Genomic DNA, 25,504 nt, shown 5'->3' with positions numbered 1-25,504 from the left:
GACAGCAGGGCAGACACAGAACATACAAATGATGTGGGGGGTCAAAGAGATCAAACAGAACCATTTTCAAACCTATCTGGCTACTCCTTGCACACTCAGCAGGTAGAATTGGAAGGGCTGTCAAGGAGGGAGCCATGTTAACTCTTAGAGATGGTAGACGCTGAGCTTACATGTGCCACCTTGGAGGCCTTCACATTCTATGGGAAAAGAGGTTTAAAGAAGAGCTCCTTAAAGTGGGTTCTGTCAAATATGAACCCCCTGGTCACAGTGCTGCTAGTAGGGTCTGTGGGAGAGTGGACCACACTGCTGATACTAGGCTTCAGGTGGCAGCATGGTGTGGGAAGGAGCTGTAGTGGGCAGAACAGAGCACGGAGTCTGAACTCAGACAGACTTCTGTTGAAGCCCAAGCTCCTCTACTTGATTTGTAGCAGATTGCTACTTAATTAGAGCCATGACAAATGCTACCAAGGAGGCCAGGTGCGGTGACTCACACCTGTAATCCCAGCAATTTGGGAGGCCGAGGCAGGTGGATCACAAGGTCAGGAGTTCGAGACCAGCCTGGCCAATATGGTGAAACCTCGTCTCTACTGAAAATACAAAAATTAGCTGGGGTTGGTGGTGGGTGCCTGTTATCCCAGCTACTCAGGAGGCTGAGGCAGGAGAATCACTTCAACCTGGGAGGCGGAGGTTGCAGCGAGCCGAGATCACGCCACTGCACTCCACCCTGGGCGACAGAGGGAGACTCCATCTCAAAAAAAAAAAAAATGCAGCCAAGGAAAAATGTGCTATGCAATGATGACAAAGAACACAGTGGCTGTACCCAGGATATGGATCAGACTTCCCTAAGGAAATGGTATTAAAGAAGACCTTGAAGGAGTAGAATTCAGTCAGGCACAGACGAAAAAGAAGTGCAGTCAAGGCAAGTGAGAACAGGATGTCCACAGGCTCAGGTGAGAAGACAATCAATTTCAAGGAACTCAGAAAAGATCAATGGAGATGGAGCATCACACGACAGGGAGAGAGCTGTGAGCCGCTGCTGTTGAGGTAGGAGGAGACAGAACACCCTGCAGTATTTAGCAGAGAGTGATAAGGACATTGGTCTCTATCTTGGGACCAGTGAGGAGCGTTTTTAAATAATCACTCTAGCAAGTGGCTAAAGAACAGATCTGAGGAATTAGAAGAGAGGTGGAAAAACTAGTAGAAAGGCAGTTGCAATAGTTTAAGCAAAAGATATGGGTGCTTGGAACTCAAGTGGTAGCAATGAATAGGGAAAGGAAATGAGACTTGTCTGAGAAATATCCAGAACATAGAATCATTAAGGGTTCATTTAAAATTATATATAGGGCTAAGGAAGAGGAAATGGTCCAGGGTAACTCCCAGGGTCCTAGAGTTAGCAAATGAGTGAATGAGGGGTCAGCATACTGAGGCTGGGAACACAGGAGAAGGAAGCTTGGGCTTAGAGCTGACGGAGATCAGCTTTAGACATGCTGAGCTGGAGGAGCTTTTTAAACACTCGGGGGAGCTGTGGTACAGATCACTGAATGTACAGGTTTAGAGCTCAGAAGAGAGGTTTGGGATAAAGCCGTAAAAGTGGAAGTCAACGTTGGGAAAGAACCTAGAGAGGGGATACAATGAGAAAAGTAGTATGAGGAAAACAGGATTTTCTGCATCTTGGACAGACTCCACATGGCTGAGAGAGCCTGTTTTATGGCAGTAAAGGTGATCAAAACAAGATAATCCCAAAGCTCATTGGGGACAGCCCAGGGAAGCTTGGTCATCTATCCTTGACAAAAAGAAATTCTCCGTTCAAGGCAGAAACCTTGCAGGTAATGTTTTGCTAAGGTGCAATTTTTCTGTGAATTTCCTCCTGCCTTAGGTGGAAGCTACAGGTAACGCCAAGCAACTATGAGAAGCTCAAAGCTGGTTAACACTTAACCTGCTTCCCTAACCCTCCTCATCTATGCCCCTTCAGGTACAGACCATTTCCTCCAGGGGTTTTTATTGGCCACTGTAATGTCTCTCATGGGACGCTGGTGTCTGTGATGTGTTGCTAAGTATTCTATTACAAAATGGAGTTTTGAGGTTAATTTTGAAAAATGCAGAGCTAAAAAAGTGAACATAAATCATTAATATGGAAGTGTTCAGAGGTTTCGACATGCTTATGGGTACAGTGACTTTCTATGAGAAAGCTTGAGTATGTTTTCCTAATACATTTGTTCCAGAACTTTTCCAGAGCTGGGGCTGTTGCACGGTGCTTGGTTGTACAGCCTCCCTAGAGATCCTACCTGTTTGGAGAGAAGCTCTTTGCACAACTGGTAAAGAGTGATGAACTTTCTGGCTAATGACTGGGCTTCAATGAATCCTTCTGCCACCAGCATGATTTCACAGATCAATTCAAAGTCTGGAACCACCATTGCACAAGGCCTGAGTATAGAAAGACAGAAGGCCCAGTCAGTTTCCCAAGTACAGTGTTGAAGAGGAGACTGCAAGAAAATAAGCACTGGCCGAGATCACACATGGAGGCATCTGTGAGTGCAAAAACTCATGGAAAGACCTGAGCCATTATTTCATCTAAGACTTTCAATTTATTCTATGTGCTGCTGCAGTTAGCATGAAGACTTTCAACTTAGAGATGAGTTAGCTAAGGATAAAGGAAATGAAGTCGCCTTCTTAAGGGGCTGGATAATGTTAGCAGGCAGGGGCAGACTTGGAGCTACCACTCAAGTCTTGTGACTTGAGTTCAGTGTGTCTTACACAAGGCATGAATTAGTAAAGCAAATTGCCTAGAATAGATTCAAGGCTTAGAATAAGGAATTGAGTTTCTCTGGGTATCTACAACAAACTGAGAGTTCCCCTATTCTTCATCCTCAAAATGTGTGTCTCCTCTAATCCTAAACACCCAGGGCTTATCCTGTACTTATTTGAACACAAATGTAAATTTCTCTTGATGAGGCCTAAAGTATGTATTAAGTGGGTCCAAAAGTAACTGTGGTTTTTGCCATTACTTTCAAGAAACTGAGAGTTCCCCTATTCTTCATTCTCCAAATGTGTGTCTCCTCTAAGCCTAGACACCTAGGGTGTATCCTGTACTTGTTTGAATACAAATGTAAATTTCTAATGATGAGGTCTAAAATATGTATTAAGATGGTGCAAAAATAATTGCGGTTTGTGCCATTACTTTCGATAGCAAAACTGCAATTATGTTTGCACCAACCTAATACTTATTAACCCTATCTTGACACAGAATGGCATATACAATAATATAGAAAGGGATTTATAGAAGGCTTTGTTGTATTTTTTTCCTCTGGCACTAAAAACATCTGATTTTAAAATTACTTACATTTTTTTAATTTGTTGGGTATGTAATAGGTTGTTACATTTATTTAATTGCATTTTCCCTATACTGATATGAAATTTTCAAAAACATTTCATTCGAGCACATTTTTTCTTGAAATATTTTACATTGTATTCAAATTCAAAGGAGCAACCAAATGCTGCTTAAATTCTCAAAATTATTTTGCAACCTGAACATATGGGTAAATATACATTTGTACAACAGAACACTATGCAGCCATGAAAAATAGTGGTGTGAAAGGTAAATTATATAATGACAAAGAAACATTAGTTAATGAAAGTAGGATACTAAACTATATATAGTCTGATCCCAATTTTGAAAAAGAAATGCGCTACTGTTGCAGTATTGGGAAAAAAAATGCCAAATGGTTACACTGATTGTTCCTGGATGACAGGACTGGGGGCGGGGAGGAATAGGGGCTCTGGGTTCAAACTCTAGCATTCTGCCGCTTACTAGTTGGTTCACTAGCTAACCCTAGTAACTAGGGTTACTACCCTGAGCAATTTGCTGAATGCATCTGTTTCTTCACTAAACACTGGAGAAACTAGTACTACCTCATAGGGCCTTTGAGAGAATTAAATGTAAAAGTAGATGTTTGTACTTACTATTTTGAAAAATATGTTTATTTCCAAATTTCCTTCTATGGGTATGTGTTATGGACTAAATGTTGTGTGCCCCCAAAATGCAATGTGATGGTATTTGGAGATGGGCCTTTGGAAGGTCATTAGGTCATGAGGGTGGAGCGCTACCCAGAGAGCTAGCTCATCCTCTTTCCTCCATGTGAGGATACAGCAAGAAGGTGGCCGCCTGCAACCTGGAGGAGAGCCCTCACCAGAGCCTGACCGTGCTGGCACCCTGCTTTTGAACTTTCAGTCTCTAGAACTGTGAGAAATAAATGTCTGCTGTTTAGGCCGCCCAGTCTGCAGTATTTTTATTATGGCACCCTGAACTGGCAAAGACAATTCCAGTCAGCAAAAAAATTCAGCAAGAAAAAAAGGTAAGAAAGAATTCTTATCTGGGTGATCACCTACTTCTATAATCATTTGTAACACAAGGCTTATTTAATAATTACTTTGTAGAAACAAATGGTCAACAATGCAGTTTTCTGTAGCACCCGTTTAGACAGCTTGTTGGCATTCCAGCAGCTCTTGCTTAACACAGGGACCTGGCTGAAGAAGGAGAAGGCCCCGTCACCCCAGCGACACGGGAATTTGCCATGACTGAGAGAGTGAAGCACTCAGGGAGCTGCCCAGCGATCTCCTATGCCTCTGGAAATCCAGTAAAGTGTTGACAACCTCTCCGGACAGACAGCACTGTGTTTATGAGTCCAAAAATGAGACAAAACAGTTTTGTCATAGCACCCCACAGTCTATCTCACTTAGGTAAAAGTTCAGTAACCAGAAGATCAGAAGCCATGAAGCATTCTTCAGTTTTCTCTTTGTTGGGCCAACTTTTCTTTTCTGGAAAAAGAATGCAGCCTCCAGCTACTTCGATGAAATGTATTTGTGTTTTCTTATCAAAATAAAGAAGAGTTTAAAATATGGCAATGTCCACCGGTAGCAAGGGTGAAATAAAAGAGGTGCTCTCATGCGTCGCTACGAGGAGTGTAATTTGGTACTACTCTTTTTAGAAAGCAATTTGGCAATGTGTATCAAGAGCCTTAAAAATGTTTCTACCTATTAACACAGTAATTCCACTTCTGGGAAGCTAGCCAAGGAAAATAATCATACATACGGAAAAAAAAGATTTATATGCAAAGATGTACATTACAGCATTATGCATAAATTTATTTTAAATGTTAGAAAGTCTTAATATTTAACCATGGGGGAGTAGTTAATTACATTGTAAACCATGCACTTGATAAAAAAGTATGCAGCCATGAAATGAGATTTATCAAGAATATCTAATAGAAGAAAATATTTAGGATATGATTATGAGAGACTACGAAATAAAAACAACACGAAACTATGTAGACCGCAAATGCAGGCTACCAACGTATGGATTTAAAATGTATATACAGAGGAGAACAGAACACAATTAAGCAAAAAGCAATTTTACTGCATTAAAGACATTAAAGAAGGTTGTTACAAATCTACTTTTCCAAATGTTCCAAATTTTCTTTAAAATATATGTCACACATTTTAAGTGGAAAAATGAAAGAAACTTCTCTTTTGGGGCTTTTGCATGGGGCAGAACTGACACTCACCTGAAGAGAGACTTGAGATTCTCTGGCAGCTCTGTGCGGCCAGCATAGCCTGGGTTCATGGTGATGAAGATACCGACAGAAGGATTCAGGCTGATCTCCTCCCCAAGGAAGCTGAACCACTGCTTCTTATCTCTAATCGCATCTTGAATGCTTTTTACCTGGTGAACCAATCAATCAGCGAGAAATTCCTCAATTGCCTTTTAGTGGAGGGATCATAACTAAAGCTGGAACCCTGTAGTCACACACAGCACGAAGAACTGTCCTGTGGACCCTTTCACTGAAAGACAGGCATGATGACCACACCCCAGACCCTTTACTGACAGGCCCTGGTTGCATGTCTAAAAGAAATCTGGCCACTGCTAGGCACAGTGGCTCATGCCTATAATCCCAGTGCTTTGGGAGGCCAAGGCGGGCAGATCACTCGAGGTCAAGAGTTCAAGACTAGCCTGGCCAACATGGTGAAACCCCGTCTCTACTAAAAATACAAAAATCAGCCGGGTATGGTGGTGTGCATCTGTAATCCCAGTTACTCGGGAGGCTGAGGCAGGAGAATTGTTTGAATCAGGGAGGTGGAGGTTGCCGTGAGCCGAGATCATGCTACTGCACTCCAGCCTGGTTGACAAAGCAAGGCTACGTCTCAAAACAAAACAGAAAAATGAATCTGGCTGCCCACAGCCACATTTATGACACTGTGGCTAAGAGCATGGGAGGGAACAGCAAACAGGTGTTTAACTCCCTGAATGTGGGTTCTCTCTGTAGTAATGGCTGAAGTGTATTAGGGCTGACCACTGGCCGGACACAGTTCTGACCACTTCTCATGTATTAACTCATTTGAGCTTCACCATGCTTGGAGGGGGGCACTTCAATTACATCATCCCCATCTCTGATAAAACAGAAGCATGGTGAGATGGAAACACTTGCCCAAAGCCACACAGCTACTAATTGGGGCATCAGGATTTGAATCCAGGCAAATGGATCCTGCAGCCTGTGCTTTCAGGTATTGTGTGATGGTGAGGATGCCATAGTTACCTGCTGAGCTTGTTCTAAGTAAATGAAATAAAGTCTGTGAAGTACATAGCCTAAAGAAAATTGCTTAGAAATACCAGCTAACATGAGGGATACCCATGTGACCATCCTCATCGCAACTGTGGTCCCTGTCTTGGTTTAACTCCTCATAGCCATCCCCCAGACTATACCTCCAGAACAGGTGACCCTTTACAGATGGAGCAAAGGTAGGCTGGGTCAGACACAGAGGGCTGTTAGTGCTTTTTTCTTTAGAAAATCAGACTTTCTCTTAAATGTAGACTGGAGTCAGAGGAGGATTTATCCTGAAGCTTGGCCCAGTCAGATATATGTTCTAGATTACTCTCTAGCAGTGGGAGGAGAGGCAGAAGTGAAATTCAACCATTTATTGTCACACCTGGTGCTTGGAAATGCATAAGCAAAAATGATCAGCAACAGAGAAAAGATGAAAGGGACACACTTTCAGGCTAGCCCACAGCCTTGTCCAGCCCGGCCCCAGAAGGTCTTTGGGAATTTCCAGCCTCTCAGGTTCTCGGAAGCAAAACCCAAAAGCTGGGGCCGGTGCAAGGTTTTGAATGAGCCTCAGCAGGTCGGCTAAGTCCAGGGTGCTAGAAGAGCAAAGGGTAGCCTAGTTCTGTGGAAATGGGGCTGTAGGGTTGTGTGTGTGAAACGGTGGGAGGGGTGGGTGGGGGGCAGCTGGACCATCTACCACTGGGCACGGCTGTCTCCAGAGTACACAGTTTGCCTGGATGCATGACAGTTCTACAATTAGGATTCAGCTCCCTTCCCAGAGTGAAGCGCTAATGACTGTATGCGTTTGAGCTCACAGCAATTAGTTTGAAACTGAGACTTCTTTTCTACGTGCAGAATATCAATGCCATCCTGGCAGAAGCAGGCTTCAGCAGCCAGGACGCTGGCCAAACAGATCAAGCTCTGCTGGTTTGCGTGGGGCTCACAGCCCAGCCCAGCTCTGCCATGGAGCCTCTTGCAGCCTTCATCACCCTGCAAGTTACGTGACTGGCAAAGGCTGGTTCTCTCCTTTGTCCCCAGTCTTCCCATCCATAAAATATACAGAGCACTCGCCTTATTAGGGAGTGGGAAAGCAAGTTTAATTAGCGTTTATAAGTTGCTCTGCTACCTTTGGGCGAAGACTAAGGCACGAGCCTGGGACCTTTTCTGCTGTTCATTCTGACTCAGCATTCTCTCTCGAAACACCGAAGCCCAGAAACCTCACGCTCAGCAAGAATTTATGATGCACTTTTGGATTGGAGGCATCTGTGCTTTTGTGTAAAATTCTGTAGAGGGGCTCTTGAGGGAGAGTGTTGAACAGACTCAAAGATGCAGTTAATGTTGGAGCATCGGTGCTCATAGAAATTTTGGTTAGGCTGGCTTGTACAGGACAGGCTTTAGCAGCAACTGCGGTCCGCAGAGCAAATCACTGGAACATAACAATGATCAGGGTCCAAGAGGCCTTGATAACGTCCAGGTCCTGGGAAAGGCCAGAGGGTCTTTCAGGATGCTTGGAGGCAGGGAGGGGGAAGTGGAGAAGCAGGTGAACTAGGGATGTATGGATTAAATGCAAGCCCAGCCAGACGGAAGTACACACACAGGTCGTTTGGCAACTGATAGCTAAGGCTGCCAGGCACATCTCACCCATTGGGATCTGTTTCTCTATCGAAAATGCATCGTTTTCTGAAGATCTTAAAGCCACAGTGAATAACAAAAAATAATAACTGACATTTTTGAGCACTTAATATGTACGAGGGACGATCCTGAGTATTTTCTGTGAATTATTCCATCCCAAGCTTTTAACAGTTGTCTAAGATAGGTAGTCTCAGATCTTCATTTTACCGATGAAGAAACTGAGGCAGAAGGCAGTTAAGAAACTGTCCTATGTTTATGTAAGATGTTAGCATTAAGGGGAGGCTAAAAGTGAGATATGTAGAAATTCGATGCTATTTTTACAACTTTTCTATAAATCTAAAATTGGTTCAAAATAAAAAGTTAAAAGAAAAAAAAAGAAACTTGCCTGAAACCCCACAGTTGGTAAGTGGAGCAGCTCAAGCTTAAAAGCCAGGCAATCTGGTGCCGAAGCACATGCTTTTAGCTACTTCCCCCAAAGGCTCTTGTACCAGAAGGAGTGCTGTGCCAGCCACAGACCAGTTTCTCATCAAGCATATACGTTTTCAGAGCAATTTGTTTTACTTTGAAAACTATCATGTTTGTTATAATTTAGAGGCATACTTTCCACAAAATAAGAAAAGACAGTTTTGCCACCCATTAAAAAGACAAATAATCACGTCTGTAATCCCAGCACTTTGGGAGGCCGAGGCGGGCGGATCACGAGGTCAGGAGATCGAGACCATCCTGGCTAACACAGTGAAATCCCGTCTCCACTAAAAATACAAAAAATTAGCCAGGCCTGGTGGCACATGCCTGTAATCTCAGCTACTTGGGAGGCGGAGGCAGGAGAATCGCTTGAACCTGGGAGGCAGAGGTGGCAGTGAGCCGAGATCGCGCCACTGCACTCCAGCCTGCGTGACAGAGTGAGACTCCATCTGAAAAAGGAAAACAAAACAAAACAAAAAAACAAAACAAAAAAAAATGGAAAGCTATGTAGGAACCGGTGTTCTCAACTGGGAATGAGTTTGCAATCCCTCTCTCCCAGGGGTCGTGTGGCAATGTCTGGAGACACTTTTGTTGTCACAGCAAGGAATGGGGGTTGCTGTCGGCATTCAGTGGGTAGAGGCCAGGGTTGCTGCTCAACATCCACAATGCAGAGGATAGATCTTCACAAAACAGAATGATCAGCCCAAAGCATCAATAGTGCTTAGGTTGACAAGCCCTGATCTAGACCTAACATTTTACCAGTGAGGACTCTGAGGCTGAGAAGACATAAGGCACTTAACCTCCATCCCACACCACGTGTCCTTGGGTCCAAACCAATTCCCATGCAAATTCTTAGCTCTACCTCCAAGATAAATCAAATCAGAAATTCTGGGAATGGGGTCCAATGAGGTGCGTCGGAACAGGCCCTCCGGGTGATTCTGATGCACGCTGAAATTTGAGAACCACTGCAGTCCAGTCAATTCTTACATTTCTACTCATCCCTACCTCTGCCCACATGGCCCCATTCATAGCTGCATACTGACCTCCCTCTCTCAGACGGGAGGGTGTTGAACAGACTCAAAGATGTAGATAACTTCGGAGCATCGGTGCTCATAGAAATTTTGGTTAGCCTGGTTTGTACAGGATGGGATTTAGCAGCAACTGAGTCTGCAGAGCAAATCACTGGGACTTAACAATGATCAGGGTCCAGGAAGCCTTCACAAAGTCTGGGTCCTGGAAAAGGCCAGAGGTTCCCCTCTCTCCCTCTCTCAGATGAGCCTGGGTCCCCCACTTCCTTCTGCCCCACCGGGCCTGGAGAGGCTTTGCCCCTGCAGAGCACTGGCTGGGACAAACTGGCCTCAGTCTTGGGGGTCTTGATGTGAACCCAAACTCTACAGTCCTCAGCGGTGTTTTCCTCATTTTTCAGTCTCTCTCTCAGCTCTGGTTCTCAAAATTTGCTGAACGTGTGAACCATGTGGAAAGTTTTTAGAAAGTACCGATACACTGGTCCTATTCCGCAGGAATTAAATCAACATCTTTTCGGGGTGGACACTGTGCATTACTATTTTGTAGAATTACCCAGGCCATTCTAATGTGCAGCCAGGGTTGAGATGACTGTGCCAGAGCGGCACAGTCCCCGATTTTATTGTGCGTAGTAATCACTGGAGGGTGTGTTAACATGAAGATTCTGTTTCAGCAGGTCTGGGGTGGGGCCTGAGACTCTGCATTTCTAACAAGCTCCCAGGGGATGCTGGTGCTGTTGGCTCACAGTTTGAATAGCGTGGGGCTACATGACACCAGCCATGCCTGGCACCCTCTGCTGTCACTCTCAGGGCACCTACCTGAAAGTCAGTGAACTGTTCTTGCCACTGGGCCACGCTGCCCCATCCCAGTTTCATGGCCCACAATTGCCCCTCAGCCAGATGGTTTTACTGTCTTTTTCCAGCCTCTATGGTCCTTGCAATTGCACATCTTTGATGGAACTTATTTTCTGCCTTATCATTTGGATAATTTGCCCAGGTTTTACTTTTTTTTTTTTTTTTTTTGAGATGGAGTCTTGCTCTGTTGCCCAGGCTGGAGTGTAGTGGCACGATCTCGGCTCACTGCAAGCTCCACCTCCCGGGTTCACACCGCCATTCCCCTGCCTCAGCCTCCCAAGTAGCTGGGACTACAGGCTCCCACCACCATGCCTGGCTAATTTTTTGTATTTTTTAGTAGAGACGGGGTTTCACTGTGTTAGCCAGGTTGTTAGCCAGGTCAATCTCCTGACCTCATGATCTGCCCACCTCGGCCTCCCAAAGTGCTGGGATTACAGGCGTGAGCCACCGCACCTGGCTAGGGTTTACTTCTATATATTGCAAGCCAGCCCTGACGTCCAGTGGTCAACCTTGTTATCTGCACAAGCCTTGTGTGCCCGTCTGACCATAAGAGCTGCATTTCTTGCATGAGGATGACATCTTTCCCCTCATGACTGGAAGCTGCTGATCACAGAGGGTTCTGTCCCTGTATCCTCCCACTCAGGCTAGGGCCTTGTGTCTGACTCACTCAGTGAAGTATTAAGGCCATGCTGTCTCTGTGCAGGTGACATACTTTAAGGAGGTCATGGGCTAGCCCTATGCTACTGGGATCTTGGCTTTTTCTCGTCACCCCTCTACCTTGGCCCTTCTATTCTAGGAGAGTGGCTCATTTTGTGGTCCCCTGTGGTCATTCTCTTTTCAAGTCTTTGCCCCAAATGCCATGTGCTATTTAACATCCTCCCTGGCCCGCTCCACGCTTCCCACTGCAATGGCAGATTGAAGTCTGTTGCCTTCGGGAAATGCAACCCACTCACCACTTTTTAAACATTTTAACATTTCTGGGTTTTTTTCCCATTAGACTTTAAGCTTCTCTTTAAAGGGTGTTACATGGGAAGCTCCCTCGGCTCTGAGACTGGAGCATTTGTTTGGTGCCTGGAGTACTTGGAGCCCTGCTATGGTGGGCCCCCAAGTCTTTGCTGACTGATCTTCTGCTTCTACTTGCTTCCTGCCTCTGCCCAACCCATTATTGGGGCTTGTAATGCAGGGAAGAGAAGAAAGTGCCAGGAAGGCCTGGCCACAGGGCATGGAGGGGAACAGGGCATTGGGTTGTGTCCTCGTGGCACATGTCCCCGGGCGCAGATAACCCAAAGCATAGACAGCTGATTGCAATAGTAAAGAAGATATTCCAGAAAAAAGTAAGTAATATCTTAGACATTTTTTAAACAGCAGAGTAATTTTTTTTTGGAATTGACACACTGGTGTTTTTCCCAAGTGGCTATGTGACTTTGCTTGACCAGTCTCATGGAGACATGAGAATGTCCACTGACAAAGATGCTGTGGACCAGCAGCATAATCGCTTCTGTAGGAGTTACTGGGAAGAGGAGCACAGACGGACAAGCAGTGGAGAGGAGGAGAGGGGAGGGTGGTGGAGAACTGTCAGCAGCTGGTGTGGCTTCTGAACCAATATGCCAGCCTGGATTGCCGTGTGAATAATTAGGTGCAATTTTCTCCTTGGATGGGTATTCGATTTCAAATGTTACCCGCTCAGATTTTGCCTGGGCTGTTGTCAGACCACTTTCTTGAGAAATGTCTCTGATGGGTATATTCCTAGATCAGAGTGTGACAGTATCAGGGACCCCCCAGTTAAACTTATTTCATTTGATTCCAGAAACAAACAGGAACTAAGTGATCTTAGAGAATGCATTGCTGACCTTGTGTTGCGCAGCTTCAAAATAAAGCAAATTCAGTGTCTATCTACTATCCAGGGGCAACAATGGCTGTTGGGCACTGCCTCATTGATTAGTACATTGTTAAGCTTGATAAGATAGCTCGAGGTTGGTCCAGCTCAGAAGGAGTGAAGGGCATAGAGAAGACCTGTGAGAACTGTAAACTAGTTCAACCATTGTGGAAGTCAATGTGGAGATTCCTTAGGGATCTAGAACTAGAAATACCATTTGACCCGCCATCCCATTACTGGGTATATACCCAAAGGATTATAAATCATGCTGCTATAAAGACACATGCACATGTATGTTTATTGCGGCACTATTCACAATAGCGAAGACTTGGAACCAACCCAAATGTCCAACAATGATAGACTGGATTAAGAAAATGTGGCACATATACACCATGGAATACTACGTAGCCATAAAAAATGATGAGTTCATGTCCTTTGCAGGGACATGGATGAAGCTGGAAACAATCATTCTCAGCAAACTATCACAAGGACAAAAAACCAAACACCGCATGTTCTCACTCATAGGTGGGAATTGAACAAAGAGAACACATGGACATAGGAAGGGGAACATCACACACTGGGGCCTGTTGTTGGGTGGGGGGAGGGGGGAGGGATAGCATTAGGAGATATACCTAATGTAAATGACGAGTTAATGGGTGCAGCACACCAACATGGCACATGTATACATATGTAACAAACCTGCACACGTTGTGCACATGTACCCTAAAACTTAAAGTATAATTTAAAAAAAAAAAGAGAAGACCTGTGAGACCAGGATGTGAACCCTTTTTCCCTACCCTGTGTATCCCGGCTTCTACTTCTCTTCAACCCATTTCCTGCAGTGTTCAGATAATAATGATGGTAATCATCCTCATCACTATCACAACCATCATTATCACTATCATCACCACCATCACCATCATTGCCACCACCATCCCCATCATTCTCACCATAATAACCACCATCATCACCATCATTGTTAACATTATAATCACTGCCATCATCATCACTGTCATTATCAACGTCATCACTGCCACCACCATCATGACCACCATCACCCCCACCATCATCATCACTATCATCACCATCATCATCACCATCACCATCATCACTGACACCACCATCATCATCACCACCATCATCATTACCACCATCACCATTATCATCTCCATCATCATCACCATCATCACCACCACCATCATCATCATCACCGTCATCACCACCACCACCATCATCATTACCACCATCACCATTATCATCTCCATCATCATCATCATTAGAATCATCACCACCACTACCACCGCCATCATCATCATCAGCATCACCATCATTAGCATAATTATCACCATCACCACTACCATCATCACCATTAACATCATCATCATCATCATCACTAACATCACCACCACCATTATCATCATCAACAAAGCATTTATTGAGTGACTATTCTCTGCAGGGCTTTAAAAAACAGTGCTTTAGAGATATAACTCATTTAAAAATTATTACAACTGCCTCAAGGAGGTGCTATTATTAACTCCCTTTACAGATGTGGACCTTGAGACATGGATATGCTCAAGGTCACACAGCTAGTAAGTGGCTGAGACAGCATTGAACACTGGCATTATTCCTTATTCCAGGTTGTGAAGTGACCAGCCAAAGGTGAAAGCAGCCAGGAAACATATTTGATTTCTTATAAAAATCTGGATGTCCGGTCTCTCTTTAAAACGTAAAAGATCTGGCAACACTCAGCTTACATCCTTACAAGGCAGAGGTGTGCTGGTAAATTTTTAACAACCAGCTCTCCAGGAGAGCAAAAACGCCCTTGATTTGTAGAATTTGGCAGCTTTCATGATGGAAGGACTCTCACCATAGCCCATTTCAAGCTACACTCATGCAATGCCACTGACATGCACACAACCAGCTCTTTCAAGCCAAGCTGGTCAAGGGTTTCAGTCCAAGAGTGTCCAGGCTAGCCATTTGTCTTCCTTCCTCTACTAACTGCTGCTGAACAGAACAAACCCAAAAAAAGGGAAAAACCATATTTCACCACTGGAAACCAGGGAAGAGCCTCACGTTCTGGCAACTTTCAGAGCTTCATCAAGGAACAGTTTGGACAAGAGTCAGTGGCTGTCAAACACAAGAGATGGAAAGACAGGCCACCTTGGAGCAGTGGTGAGTGAAGGGACCCAGCAGAGTGTCTTGACTGCCTGTGGCTTTCAGGGCAGCTGGAGATGAAGGTGGCATGGATTTGCGGATGGTCTGAGCCCTACTGCTGTTCAGCTTTGCGTTTGCTTCAGTGCCCCACCCACAGCCCCACGTCCACACCTACCTGTGAAAAGGTATGGGATGAGAGGTGACCACATGTGAGACCTATGTGGATGGAAGCTGGCTCCTGCCAGGGCAGAGGGGGACAAGGATGATGCTGGCTCAGTCATCTTTCCCCGCCAGGGATGACCTTTTGCATGATGTTTCCTCCCACCCCCCTTCTGCCACCCTCCCCTCAATCCCGCACTCTTGCCTTAGAAAAATGTCAGTCAAGCTAAACGCTTTCCTTATTCCTTTGTCTGGACCTGAAAGGATTACAGAAACCTGTAGGGACCAAAGAGTCTCTCATAGCTACATTTTTCCTTTTTCTGTACTGTGCGCATACTGCTTTGGAAATAAAAGCAAACACAAGCAAAATTAAACCATTTTTGATTATATGGTGTGCGGCACACACTAGGAGTACCAGGCACATAATTGTCCCAAGCACCTCGCCACAGCTTTGATCATCACATGGTGCCCTTGTGATTGCTTTGCTCTGTTAAGGGCAGGATGGGGGTTCTGAAACCAGCCGCCCCTAGCAGGAGAAGGGGGGTGCTCAGCCTGCAGGGAGGCATGTGGAATAGAAGCTGGCAAACGATGTGCTTTATCTTGGAGATGGGGTTCCTGGGGGGAATGGAGCCTGTGCAGCTGCAGTAAGAATCCTTGGGAGAGACTCTTGACTTGCCCTCAGCCACCAGTTTTCCTACTGCTCAGCCCCTCCTTCATATTGCTGGCAAATAGAGGGGCAATCTCCCTCCCAGATGTCTCTGGGGGTTCTCTGATGCCTGCTGAGGAAGGCATTTCCGCCTGCTACTATTGGGTTCGAACTTGTCTCTCTGGCCTTATTTTCTCCTCTGGCATTTTACCCACTAGACACCACATCAGTGCCCACATCTGCACCTGGACAGTGTTGGTGGGGGCACAGGGTGCACATACCAACCTTACCACTTTCCAAAAGTCTACCCATGGACAAGATACAGTTCTCCTCTGATGTTCAGCTTTTCCACATACATAATGGGGAGAATAGTGGCTTGTAGGGCCATGGTGGAAAGACGTGAAAGATCTTTCATGATGTGAAAGATGATGTATGAAAAGTGCCTGGTACAGAATTTCAACAAAAGCTTATTCAAACGTTCCCCCCCTTCACCCTCCTACTGCTCCGATTGTTCATGGGATCCTGACCCAAATCCAAAATCCTCTCCATCTTTTCAATGTAATGCATTTGGAAGTCTCATCTCAGTCAGAATTTAAGTCACCTCTAGAACATTGAAAGTACTCACGTCTATCTCAAGAGCTCAAGTTTTTTTTGTTTTTTTTTTTTTAGGTCAGAGATCACATTCCATTCAACTGGGAAACTTCACCTGTCTTTTGCATAACACTTACTAGGTTGTAGGTGTTTAATAAATGCTTTCTGGATGACTTGAAAGACAAGGGGCATGCTTACATAAAATCTCACCCCAGAAGCGACTTCATTCAAAAACGATTCATGCCATATTCCTCACTTTATTAAGCTGAGCGTGGTGGAATAACTTTCCCAAAGATTCCAATAGGAAATAAAATAACTGAAATTTAAGCCTTGGTTTATAACCAAAGAACATGGCCTTTCCGAGGAGCTGAGCTCTGCCATCTTCATGTTTCTGTGCCCAGATGAAGCAGGCAGGACAGATATTCTTTCTCTCCATTTTACAGAGAACGAAACAGAGTCCCAAAGCCAGTAAATGGTTCTACTTTGGTGGGTAACAGAAGGATACCCATTTTGGAGGACAGCTTCCCTGGAGCCTGATTTTAGAGGATGGAGAAAGGGGCATGAAATGACAAGGGAAAAAGGGACGTAGATGCTCAGGAGAGGTAGAAAACAAGAGGACATAGACTTCCGCAGTAATCAATATGAAGACCACAAGGCTCCCACCAACTTCTGGCCCTTACCTGCACTGCCACCACTGACAAGACCTCCACGGAGATTCGATTAAACTCATCAAAGCAGCCCCAGGCACCAGTCTGAGCAAGGCCTTTGTAGATGTTGCCACAAGACTGCAAGAAAATGCACAAAGATTAAATTACCAACGGGCCAGGCTTATCAATACATGTTGAAGCCATTCTCCATCCCCTTTATTATAGATACTTCTAGTCCCCCTAAAGACCACTGGTCAGAAACTTGTATTAAAATTTCAAGAACAATTAAATGTTTGATGGTTATGGGGTGTCAACAGAAGTCACAGGATTAAACAGAACCTTTTCAAGACACTTGGATGAAAATCCCTTTAAAATGTCATCAGGGTTGCATTATTGTTGATTCGGTAGCTTTCAAAATCCCAGGAAATGAATAAAAGATGATTTTTCTTATGCTATACAGACAAAAAGCCTTCCACCCAGCCTTTGTCATGCACTGATGGAAAAATTTACGTCTGTATCTTTAAATTTATGCCCAACCACCCAGGTTTTCCAGAGTGGTGAGGGAGCTGGAGACAAAGACAGGGGGTGATAACATCTGTTAAAAAAACAAAAACCAAAACCAAAAAACAAAAACACATACACACAAACTAAAGGTAAATCTTTTCAAATGAGAGCAGGGAAGGAATTTACAAGGGAATAATGCATTTCTGTCCTAAAAGTAAAAACCATCCTGGGCATTCAATATGAACTGGTAAGTCACGGGGCAACCAAAAAGATAGGTTCCTGGGAGACACTCACAAGGTCATTGGCAAGGAGACGTCATTAAAATGCCAGGGAAATGCAAATAATGGAAAAGTCCCATTCATTTATTCAGCGGGTTTTTTTTTTTTTTTTTTTTTTTTTTTTTTGAGACGGAGTCTCACTCTGTTGCCCAGGCTGGAGTGCAGTGGTGCGATCTTGGCTCATTGCAACCTCCACCTCCCAGGTTCAAGCGATTCTCCTGCCTCAGCCTCCCGAGTAGCTGCGATTACAGGCGTGCACCACCATGCCTGGCTAATTTTTATATTTTTAGTAGAGACAGGGTTTCACCATGTTGGTCAGGGCTGGTCTCAAACTCCTGACTTTGCAATCAACCCGCCTTGGCCTCCCAAAGTGCTGGGATGACAGGCATAAGCCACCATGCCCAGCCTTCAGTGGGCATTTTTTGACTATCAGCTCTGTGCACCGATCATGTGCTGGACATAGGGGAGCTCAGTCTAAGAACTTTTGGTCAGGTTGAGGAGATAAGGTATATACATAAAAACAGGAAAATTACTGCATCAGTAGTGGTTCCATTGAATAATATAGACCACAAATGTCATATTCACAGAAGAGAGGGTCAGAGTGCTCCTGAGTGATCAGTTTTGCCAAAGAGGTGAAAGTCAGATGGCAGCACAACAGTACTTCACAAAGTTTATTCCGCGGAACCACAGGCCTGAAAGATGCTCTTCGAAGAAAGGGCTTTTTGGTCAAGCAAATTTGGGAAACACATTCTTCAACCCGTTTTGGCCTACTTACAATTTGTATTAGCGTTTAAGGGCCCTGAGAAATCCTATAACAAAAACATTAGTTTCACTGCATTACATGGCTAGGATTATTTTTCCTTCACATAACCCCTGATTTTCTCAGAATGCACTCTGGCAATTATTGGTATAGTGTAAAGGTCACAAGATTAGAGTCAGAAGATATGGGGATCTCACAGAAAACTACATGCTTTAGGACACACACAAGAAATGATGGCTTTATAGGATAGGAGTATCTGTATAGATAGAATGGAAGGGGTAAGGCTTTCCAGGAGGAGGAAGATTATGGAAGAAATACAAGCAGAATAATGATATGTGCAGAGAAAAATGACAGAGCCATTTTGATTGGAAAGTTGAATTACTAAATAAAGTCATGGTTGTAAAAAGCCTTGAATTACTATGAGGGATCTTTGGAGGTTTGCAGCAGAGAACATGAGCAGAGCATTGTTATGAGAGGATTGGTCTAACTGCCACATAGGCTAGGTTGGACATTAGGGCAGACTTTAATTTTTTTTGTTTGTTTTTTTGAGATGGAGTCTTGCTCTGTCACCCAGGCTGGAGTGCAGTGGCGCAATCTCAGTTCACTGCAACCTCTGCCTCCCAGGTTCAAGCAATTCTGCTGCCTCAGCCTCCCAAGTAGCTAAGATTACAGGCGTGCACCACCAAGCCCAGCTAATTTTTGTATGTTTAGTGGAGACGGGGTTTCACCATGTTGGCCAGGCTGGTCTCGAACTCCTGGCCTCAAGTGATCCACCTGCCTTGGCCTCCCAAAGTGTTTGAGTTGCAGGTGTGAGCCACTGTGTCCTGATGTAGGGCAGACTTTGAAGGAGAAGGGAAAAATAAAACCCACCTTTCACTGAGCTTCTGGAATTAAGAGATTTCTTTTTACTTTCATATCAACAAATATTTATTGAGCATATACTATGTGCCAGAGATTGTTCTAGGTCATGAAGAATCAGCTGTGAACAAGATAGACGATGCCTCTATTCTCATGGGTCTCATATTCCCATAAGGAAAACAGACAATGAGCAATAACAAATCAGACAGTGATAAAGTCCCACTGGAGTCTTAAAATGAGGGTGACATGGAGACTTCAGATTGAGCTGTCAGGGACATCCTGTCTGAGGAGGTGATGGAAGTTCCAGGCGTTGTGTTTGTGTACCTTAAATCAGGGGTCCCCAGCCTCTGGGCAACTGTCCATGGTCTGTTAAGGAACCAGGCCGCACAGCAGGAGGTGAGCAGCAGGTGAGTAAGCAAAGCTTCATCTGTATTGACAGCTGCTTCCCATCACCTGCATTATTGCCTGAGCTCTGTCTCCTGTCAGATCAGTGGCAGCACTGGATTCTCATGAGAGCATGAACCCCATTGTGAATTGCACATGTGAGGGATCTAGGCTGGGTGATCCTTATGAGAATCTAATGCCTGATGATCTGTCACTGTCTCCCATCACCCCCAGTTGGAACCAACTAGTTGAAGGAAGAGAAGACCAGGGCCCCCACTGATTCTACATGATGGTGAGTTGTATAATTATTTCATTGTATATTACAATGTAATAATAATCGAAATAAAGTGTACAATAAATGTAATGTGCTTGAATCATCCCGAGACCATCCCCCACTACCACAGTCCATGGAAAAATAGTCTTCCATGAAACTGGTCCCTCATGCCAAAAAGGTTGGGGACCACTGCCTTACATTATTCCATTTCATTTGCAAAACAATCCAAGTGTCACAAATACTAAGTGGAAATTCAGAAATCAACATCCATGTTTATTCACAATAGTTAAGATATGGAATCAACCTAAGTGTCCATCAATGGATGAATGCATAAAGAAAATGTAGTATATACACACAAAGCAATATTGTTCAGCCATTGAAAAGAATGAAATCCTGTCATTTGCAGCAACAGGGATGGACCTGGAGGATATTATCTTAAGTGAAAGAAGCCAGGCACAGAAAGACAAATATCACATGCTGTCATTCATATGTGAGAGCTAAAAAAGTTGATCTCATGGAGGTAGACAGTAGAATGATGGTTACCAGAGGCTGGGAAGGAGAAAATGAAGAGAAGTTGGTTAATGGGTACAAACATACAGCTAGACATAAGAAATAAGTTATAGTGTTCAACAGCACAATAGGGGACTATGATTACTAATCATTTATTTTATATTTCAAAATAGCTGAAGAGGAGATTTGGAATGTTCCCAACACAAAGAAACAATAAATCTTTGGGATGATGGTTATCCTAATTACCCTGATTCGATCATTATACTACAATGTATAATGATATTCATAATTATTATTGATATTATTGATAAATATTATTGATAATATGTGCATCAAAATATAACATGTACCCCATTAATATGTACAGTTATGATGTATCAATAAAAAAGATGTTTTAAAAATTCAATTTTTAACAAGCCGGGCACAGTGGCTCACGCCTGTAATCCCAGCACTTTGGGAGGCTGAGGCGGGCGGATCACAAGGTCAGGAGATCCAGACCATCCTGGCTAACACAGTGAGACACCGTCTCTACTAAAAGTACAAAAAAAACCAATTAGCCAGGCGTGGTGGCGGGCGCCTGTAGTCCAAGCTACTCGGGAGGCTGAGGCAGGAGAATGACGTGAACCCAGGAGGTGGAGCTTGCAGTGAGCTGAGATCGTGCCACTGCACTCCAGCCTAGGGGACAGAGCGAGACTCCATCTCAAAAAAAAAGAAAAAAAAAATTCAATTTTTTACAGTGATTTTGAAAGCTTTTCAAACTGCAGACCCTTTTTATAAAATGAAAACTCAAAACATAAAATAAAGGAAGTGGAGTTTCCATAGGTGGATGCTTGTCACCCCTATGTTTCTCCCCCCCACCCCAGGGCCTGTGGCTGAACCCCAGGACCCTAAAGTAACCCATGTGTTTAGCTCACCACATATCTCCTGGTCCTGTCAGCGAGGCTGGGGCATTATCTTGCTGTGGGATGGTGAGCTTTGGGACTAGGCGAATGGCAAGAATAGGGCAAAGGCCTGGAAGTGAGAAGGGTGCTGAACAATCGACACTGGTGACCGATTAGAGGTAGGGAAGGAAGGACATGAAGTAACCCAGGTTCCTGAAGTTTTCCACCAGGATCTCAGGGAAAATGAGATGATCCTTCCTGATGGTGGGGAATCTGGCAGGGAGAAAGGAAGAGTGCTAACCACAATGCAAGAGAAGGGCATTCAAGAGATGCCCACTGCCCCATTAGAGAGAGACGGGACTAGGACTCCGGTGAAGCTGGAGAATAGACATGGCTTCATAAAGGAGACATAGGTATACACATCACACTGGAAATTATAAAAGAGGATCAGCAAATGAGACCGAGGAGCCAGGAGACCAGAGACTCAGGAGGAGGACTGTGCAAGTATAGCATTTCCGAAGTGAAGGGAGTAGGGTCTCAAGGAAAAGTGTAGTATCCACAATATGGCTGCTACAGAGAGGGTTGGAAATAATTCCAAACACTTTCAGGTTTGGAACCATTTGATGTCCCTGCAATAGCATCTCCAAATTGAGGTCAAGAGGGGAAAGTATTACAGCTATAATATAAAGGATGTTTCAGCACTGAAACTGCAGTCATTTTCAGAGAAAGTGGCTGGTTTTATAGGTTTTCCATCCAGGATAAGAGAGTAAAGCAATAACTTTACCTTTGCTTCAAGTCTTTGCGCTGTTCTCCTGTCCTCCCCAGCTCAATGCACACCCAGTCCTCATGAGCTAACTGAGGTGATGCGGCTTATAGGATTTCTAAGGCAGAGGGGATAGCAAGGGCGCTTGACCACAGCCTAGACTCTCCTCTTCAACCTCTCCCTTTGCTTCACCACTGACTGCCTGCCCATATTCCCGAGATATCACTTACCTTGTTATATTTTAAGCCTCTTATGCTTTTCCATGTCTACTACCACATCAGCTGGTTCCTCATTCCCTCTGGTTTGAATGACTGAGATGCTCTCACCAAAACCTATTCCTGCTTCCAGTCTCTTCCTTTCTCATTTCGTCTGACTTCCAATCTTTATGCTTTTGCTCCAGTTCCGAAGCCTGCAGTTCCTTTCTGCATCCCCCACTTCAAGGTGAGATGCTTTCAGTGGCTTTCAGTCCTTCCCCTCCTTATCTCCTGTTTTTGATCCTCTGTAAGGTAGCTTAGCCCTTGTTCCGCATTTATTTCTAGCTTTCACTATGGACAGACCTGAACAGAGTATATTGCTGTGAGTGTCATGAATGACACATCGAAATCTCCCCTGGAGAAGTGCACAGCAGCTCTTCCTGACCTCGCACCCTTTTTCTCCTCTCCCAGCCGGGTCCTGTGAGGAGGGCTCATGGGGTGAAGTCAGAATGAGGGCTGGGGACAGATATTGGCCACACATAGAACTTGGTCATGGCTTTAAAGCTGACATTCTAATGGGTTAGAATGTGTGAAAATGCCACATGCTCTCTCTGTCACCAACCCCAAAACTGAGCCTTGGTTGGGTATCACGTCCTCCACATGTCTTTCCTGACCAGCCCACTCTGTGGCTCTCCCCCTACTCTGGAATATTCCAGGGCCTAAAGTTTGTAGGGCACATGAGCACCCAGGGTTATGCTATCTGAGTGTTAACTAGCTCCCCTGATGATATCATATATCCTTTGTCCCTCCAAATAAAATCGGGTTATACTATCTCTCTCTTTCTCTCTCTCATCAATCATTCATCTATCATTTATCTACCTAAAATCCATCTACCATCTATCCTCCATCCATCTCTCTCTCTCTCTCTCCCTCTCTCTCCCCATATGATCTGTTTTTGGCATCCTGCACAATGCTCAGCACATGCTGAGGAAAGGCAATACTCAATAAATTAATTGGATTGCGAGTGTTTTACCATAAAAAATAATTCTGAACAGCCAGAAAACAAAGGTAGAGGAAGTTTGCAAACAGCTTAGTGGGGCTGTTTGGTTACCTGGGATATTTGGTGTCCAGGAAGGGAGCACCTCCCTTCTGGCATGTTTCACTGTGGCTATGCTTATTTATGATGTTCTAACCTGTGTCTAGCCTGTATTCCATGGAAGCTTAGCCTATAGTTGAAAAACAAACAAACAAAAACAAAAACAAAAAACAAAACAAAAAAACAAACAAAAAAAACAAAGATAGACTCCCCCGTTCACCCTGTACTTTTAACAAAATTGGTGGGGTTAGGGTTCAGTGATTGGTTTTGATAGAATTGAGTAAAATGGCCATAGTGACCCCTAGCCAACTCACCATTTCCTGCTTGCTATTCTAGGTATGACTTTGAAGAAATCTGGCTGATTTTCTTCAATCAATACACCACGTCTTCTACATCCAAATGAGTGTTTCTTTCACAATGTTCCCTTTGGGAGACTCTACTTACTTTGGCAGTGCTGCTGCCATTGCTCAACTATAGAAAAATCTAGAACATAAAATTATCCCTAAGGCTGAGGTCATTTCTATAAAGGGGGGAGAAAACTCCACCTTTCTGTTCCAGCCTGACTTAAAGAGAAACATTATCTTAATGTGTTCATCAATAAAAGCAACTGTGCTAAAATTTAGGGGATGAAGACCACGTGGAAGACAAGTTTTTTGGGTCTAGATCCTTGCTTTGTTTACTTAACACGAGAAAACATGGTGCTACAGGACGCTGCAACTCTACACAACAAAATCATGCTACAGAAATGATTAAATTATAGAGGATGAATCTCATTTACAGAGTGCTATACGTGGTAACGGCAAGCATTATTTCTAAAATTATAACTACATTAAATTTATTTTACAGTCAATATAGCACATGACTTTTATATATAAATGTTTAATCTATTTAATGCAACTTTTTTTCACTGCAAATTTATTTGCATGTCATCCTGCTGACAAAAGGGACTTAAGGCAGTTTACAAAAACACATACAATATAACAAAAATAACGAGAGAGGGAGATAATCTGTTATTACATTTTTGTTTTACCAGGGCCTGTCGTGGGGTGGGGGAAGCGGGGAGGGATAGCATTAGGAGATACAACTAATATAAATGATGAGTTAATGGGTGCAGCACACCAACATGGCACATGTATACATATGTAACAAACCTGCACGTTGTGCACATGTACCCTAGAACTTAAAGTATAATTAAAAAAAGAAAAAAAAAGAAAAATTGGAAAATAGTTCTCACAAAGAAAAAAAAGAAAAAAAGAAGCTATATAAGGTTCAGTTGTGAGCAGAATATTTCTAGCTAAAGAAGTGACCTCATGGGCCTTTTGTTTCTCTGGCTTTTCTCGGTGACTCAGAACCTGGAACACATTGGTTCTTAAAAAATTGTACGTGCCTGAATGAATATTAGCTTTGCACTTGTCTTCTGTGGGCGTCTGTGCTCTGAGTCGGGGTTGATTAGCCTGCTTTCAGAAATCACGCCTGCCCTTGCAGAATATTCTGCCCCTGTTGATATTCTGGGGAATGTCCACTTCTACAGAAGAGCACAAATACGTCAAGCTTTTATGTGAAGACAAGTGCCTTCATCTTGGCTACTTGTGAGCCTTTCTGTGTTTCTAGGTCAAATAGGGAAATTAGGACTTTGGATATATGTTCAGTTTCTTCATTTTGCAGGTAATAAAAGAAAGATCCAAAAAGATGAAGTCAGCCATCTGTGGTCAGAGCTCATTGGTGGAATGAGAATACAAAGGGCTGTGCTTCCTCATCACATGAAAGCCTTATAGGGAGGCCAAAAAACTCCAGGGTTCAAACGTCCAACTTTACCACGAAGGAGCAAACTGAGACCTCCTGATCTGGGCTCCGAGACCTGGGGAAGCTGGGTCAGGGTGGCACGGATGCGTCTTAGCCTTGATTTGGTGCCCTGAGTTCCTATCCCCCACCCCCACCCCCAGGAAGCCGGGTGGAACTGTACCTTGTAATCCATCTGCTCCGAGCAGTTGAACACATAGACCAGGATGCCCAGTGCGCGGCCCAGGTCCTTGGTGGTCTCGGTCTTGCCTGTGCCTGCAGGTCCTGCGGGAGCCCCACTCATGGTCAGGTGCAGGGACTGGGTGAGGGTGATGTAGCACCTGCCAAACACGGGAGGGCATAGGTCATCATTCTTGGGGGCCCAGTGAGATAGGACTAAGGCTCAAGGCCATGTGAGATCTGGCATAGCTTCTGAAAAGAAAGCCAAGAGCCCTGCCCCTTTTTCCCGCTCCCCACAGCACTGTGGGGAGGACTCTTTAGCGGGCAAGCTCATCACAGTGCTCCCTCCATGCAGGGCATCAGAGGCTCCCTGACAGGTTCTTCTTCTGGGTCTGCTTGC

At 44.3% G+C, this 25,504-nt stretch overlaps 1 protein-coding gene across 6 annotated transcripts in view, besides 1 other annotated feature; it reads right to left on the bottom strand.

Moving 5' to 3' along the window:
• The window catches only part of DNAH9 (dynein axonemal heavy chain 9), a 371,279-nt gene that overhangs the window by 225,150 nt on the left and 120,625 nt on the right, over positions 1–25,504 (bottom strand). For all 6 annotated transcript variants that reach the window (XM_011523703.3, NM_001372.4, XM_017024292.3 and 3 more), the window contains 4 exons: positions 25,109–25,265; positions 16,677–16,781; positions 5,562–5,719; positions 2,286–2,424 (listed from right to left, as the gene is read on the bottom strand). In XM_011523703.3, coding sequence (XP_011522005.1) covers positions 2,286–2,424; positions 5,562–5,719; positions 16,677–16,781; positions 25,109–25,265 — 559 coding nt within the window. The remainder of the gene's footprint in view (positions 1–2,285; positions 2,425–5,561; positions 5,720–16,676; positions 16,782–25,108; positions 25,266–25,504) is intronic.
• Positions 7,057–8,256: an enhancer, noted in NCBI's record as "MED14-independent group 3 enhancer chr17:11639660-11640859 (GRCh37/hg19 assembly coordinates)". NCBI's record gives its function as "activates an origin of replication core promoter dependent on BRD2, BRD4, P300/CBP and CDK7 cofactors, and independent of MED14, by STARR-seq in HCT116 cells {active_cell/tissue: HCT116}" and the evidence as "EXISTENCE:reporter gene assay evidence [ECO:0000049][PMID:35650434]".

The sequence above is a fragment of the Homo sapiens genome, chromosome 17 (genome assembly GCF_000001405.40).
Source record: "Homo sapiens chromosome 17, GRCh38.p14 Primary Assembly".
NCBI classification, from domain to species: domain Eukaryota; kingdom Metazoa; phylum Chordata; class Mammalia; order Primates; family Hominidae; genus Homo; species Homo sapiens.
This window is presented reverse-complemented; position numbering and strand designations above follow the sequence as displayed.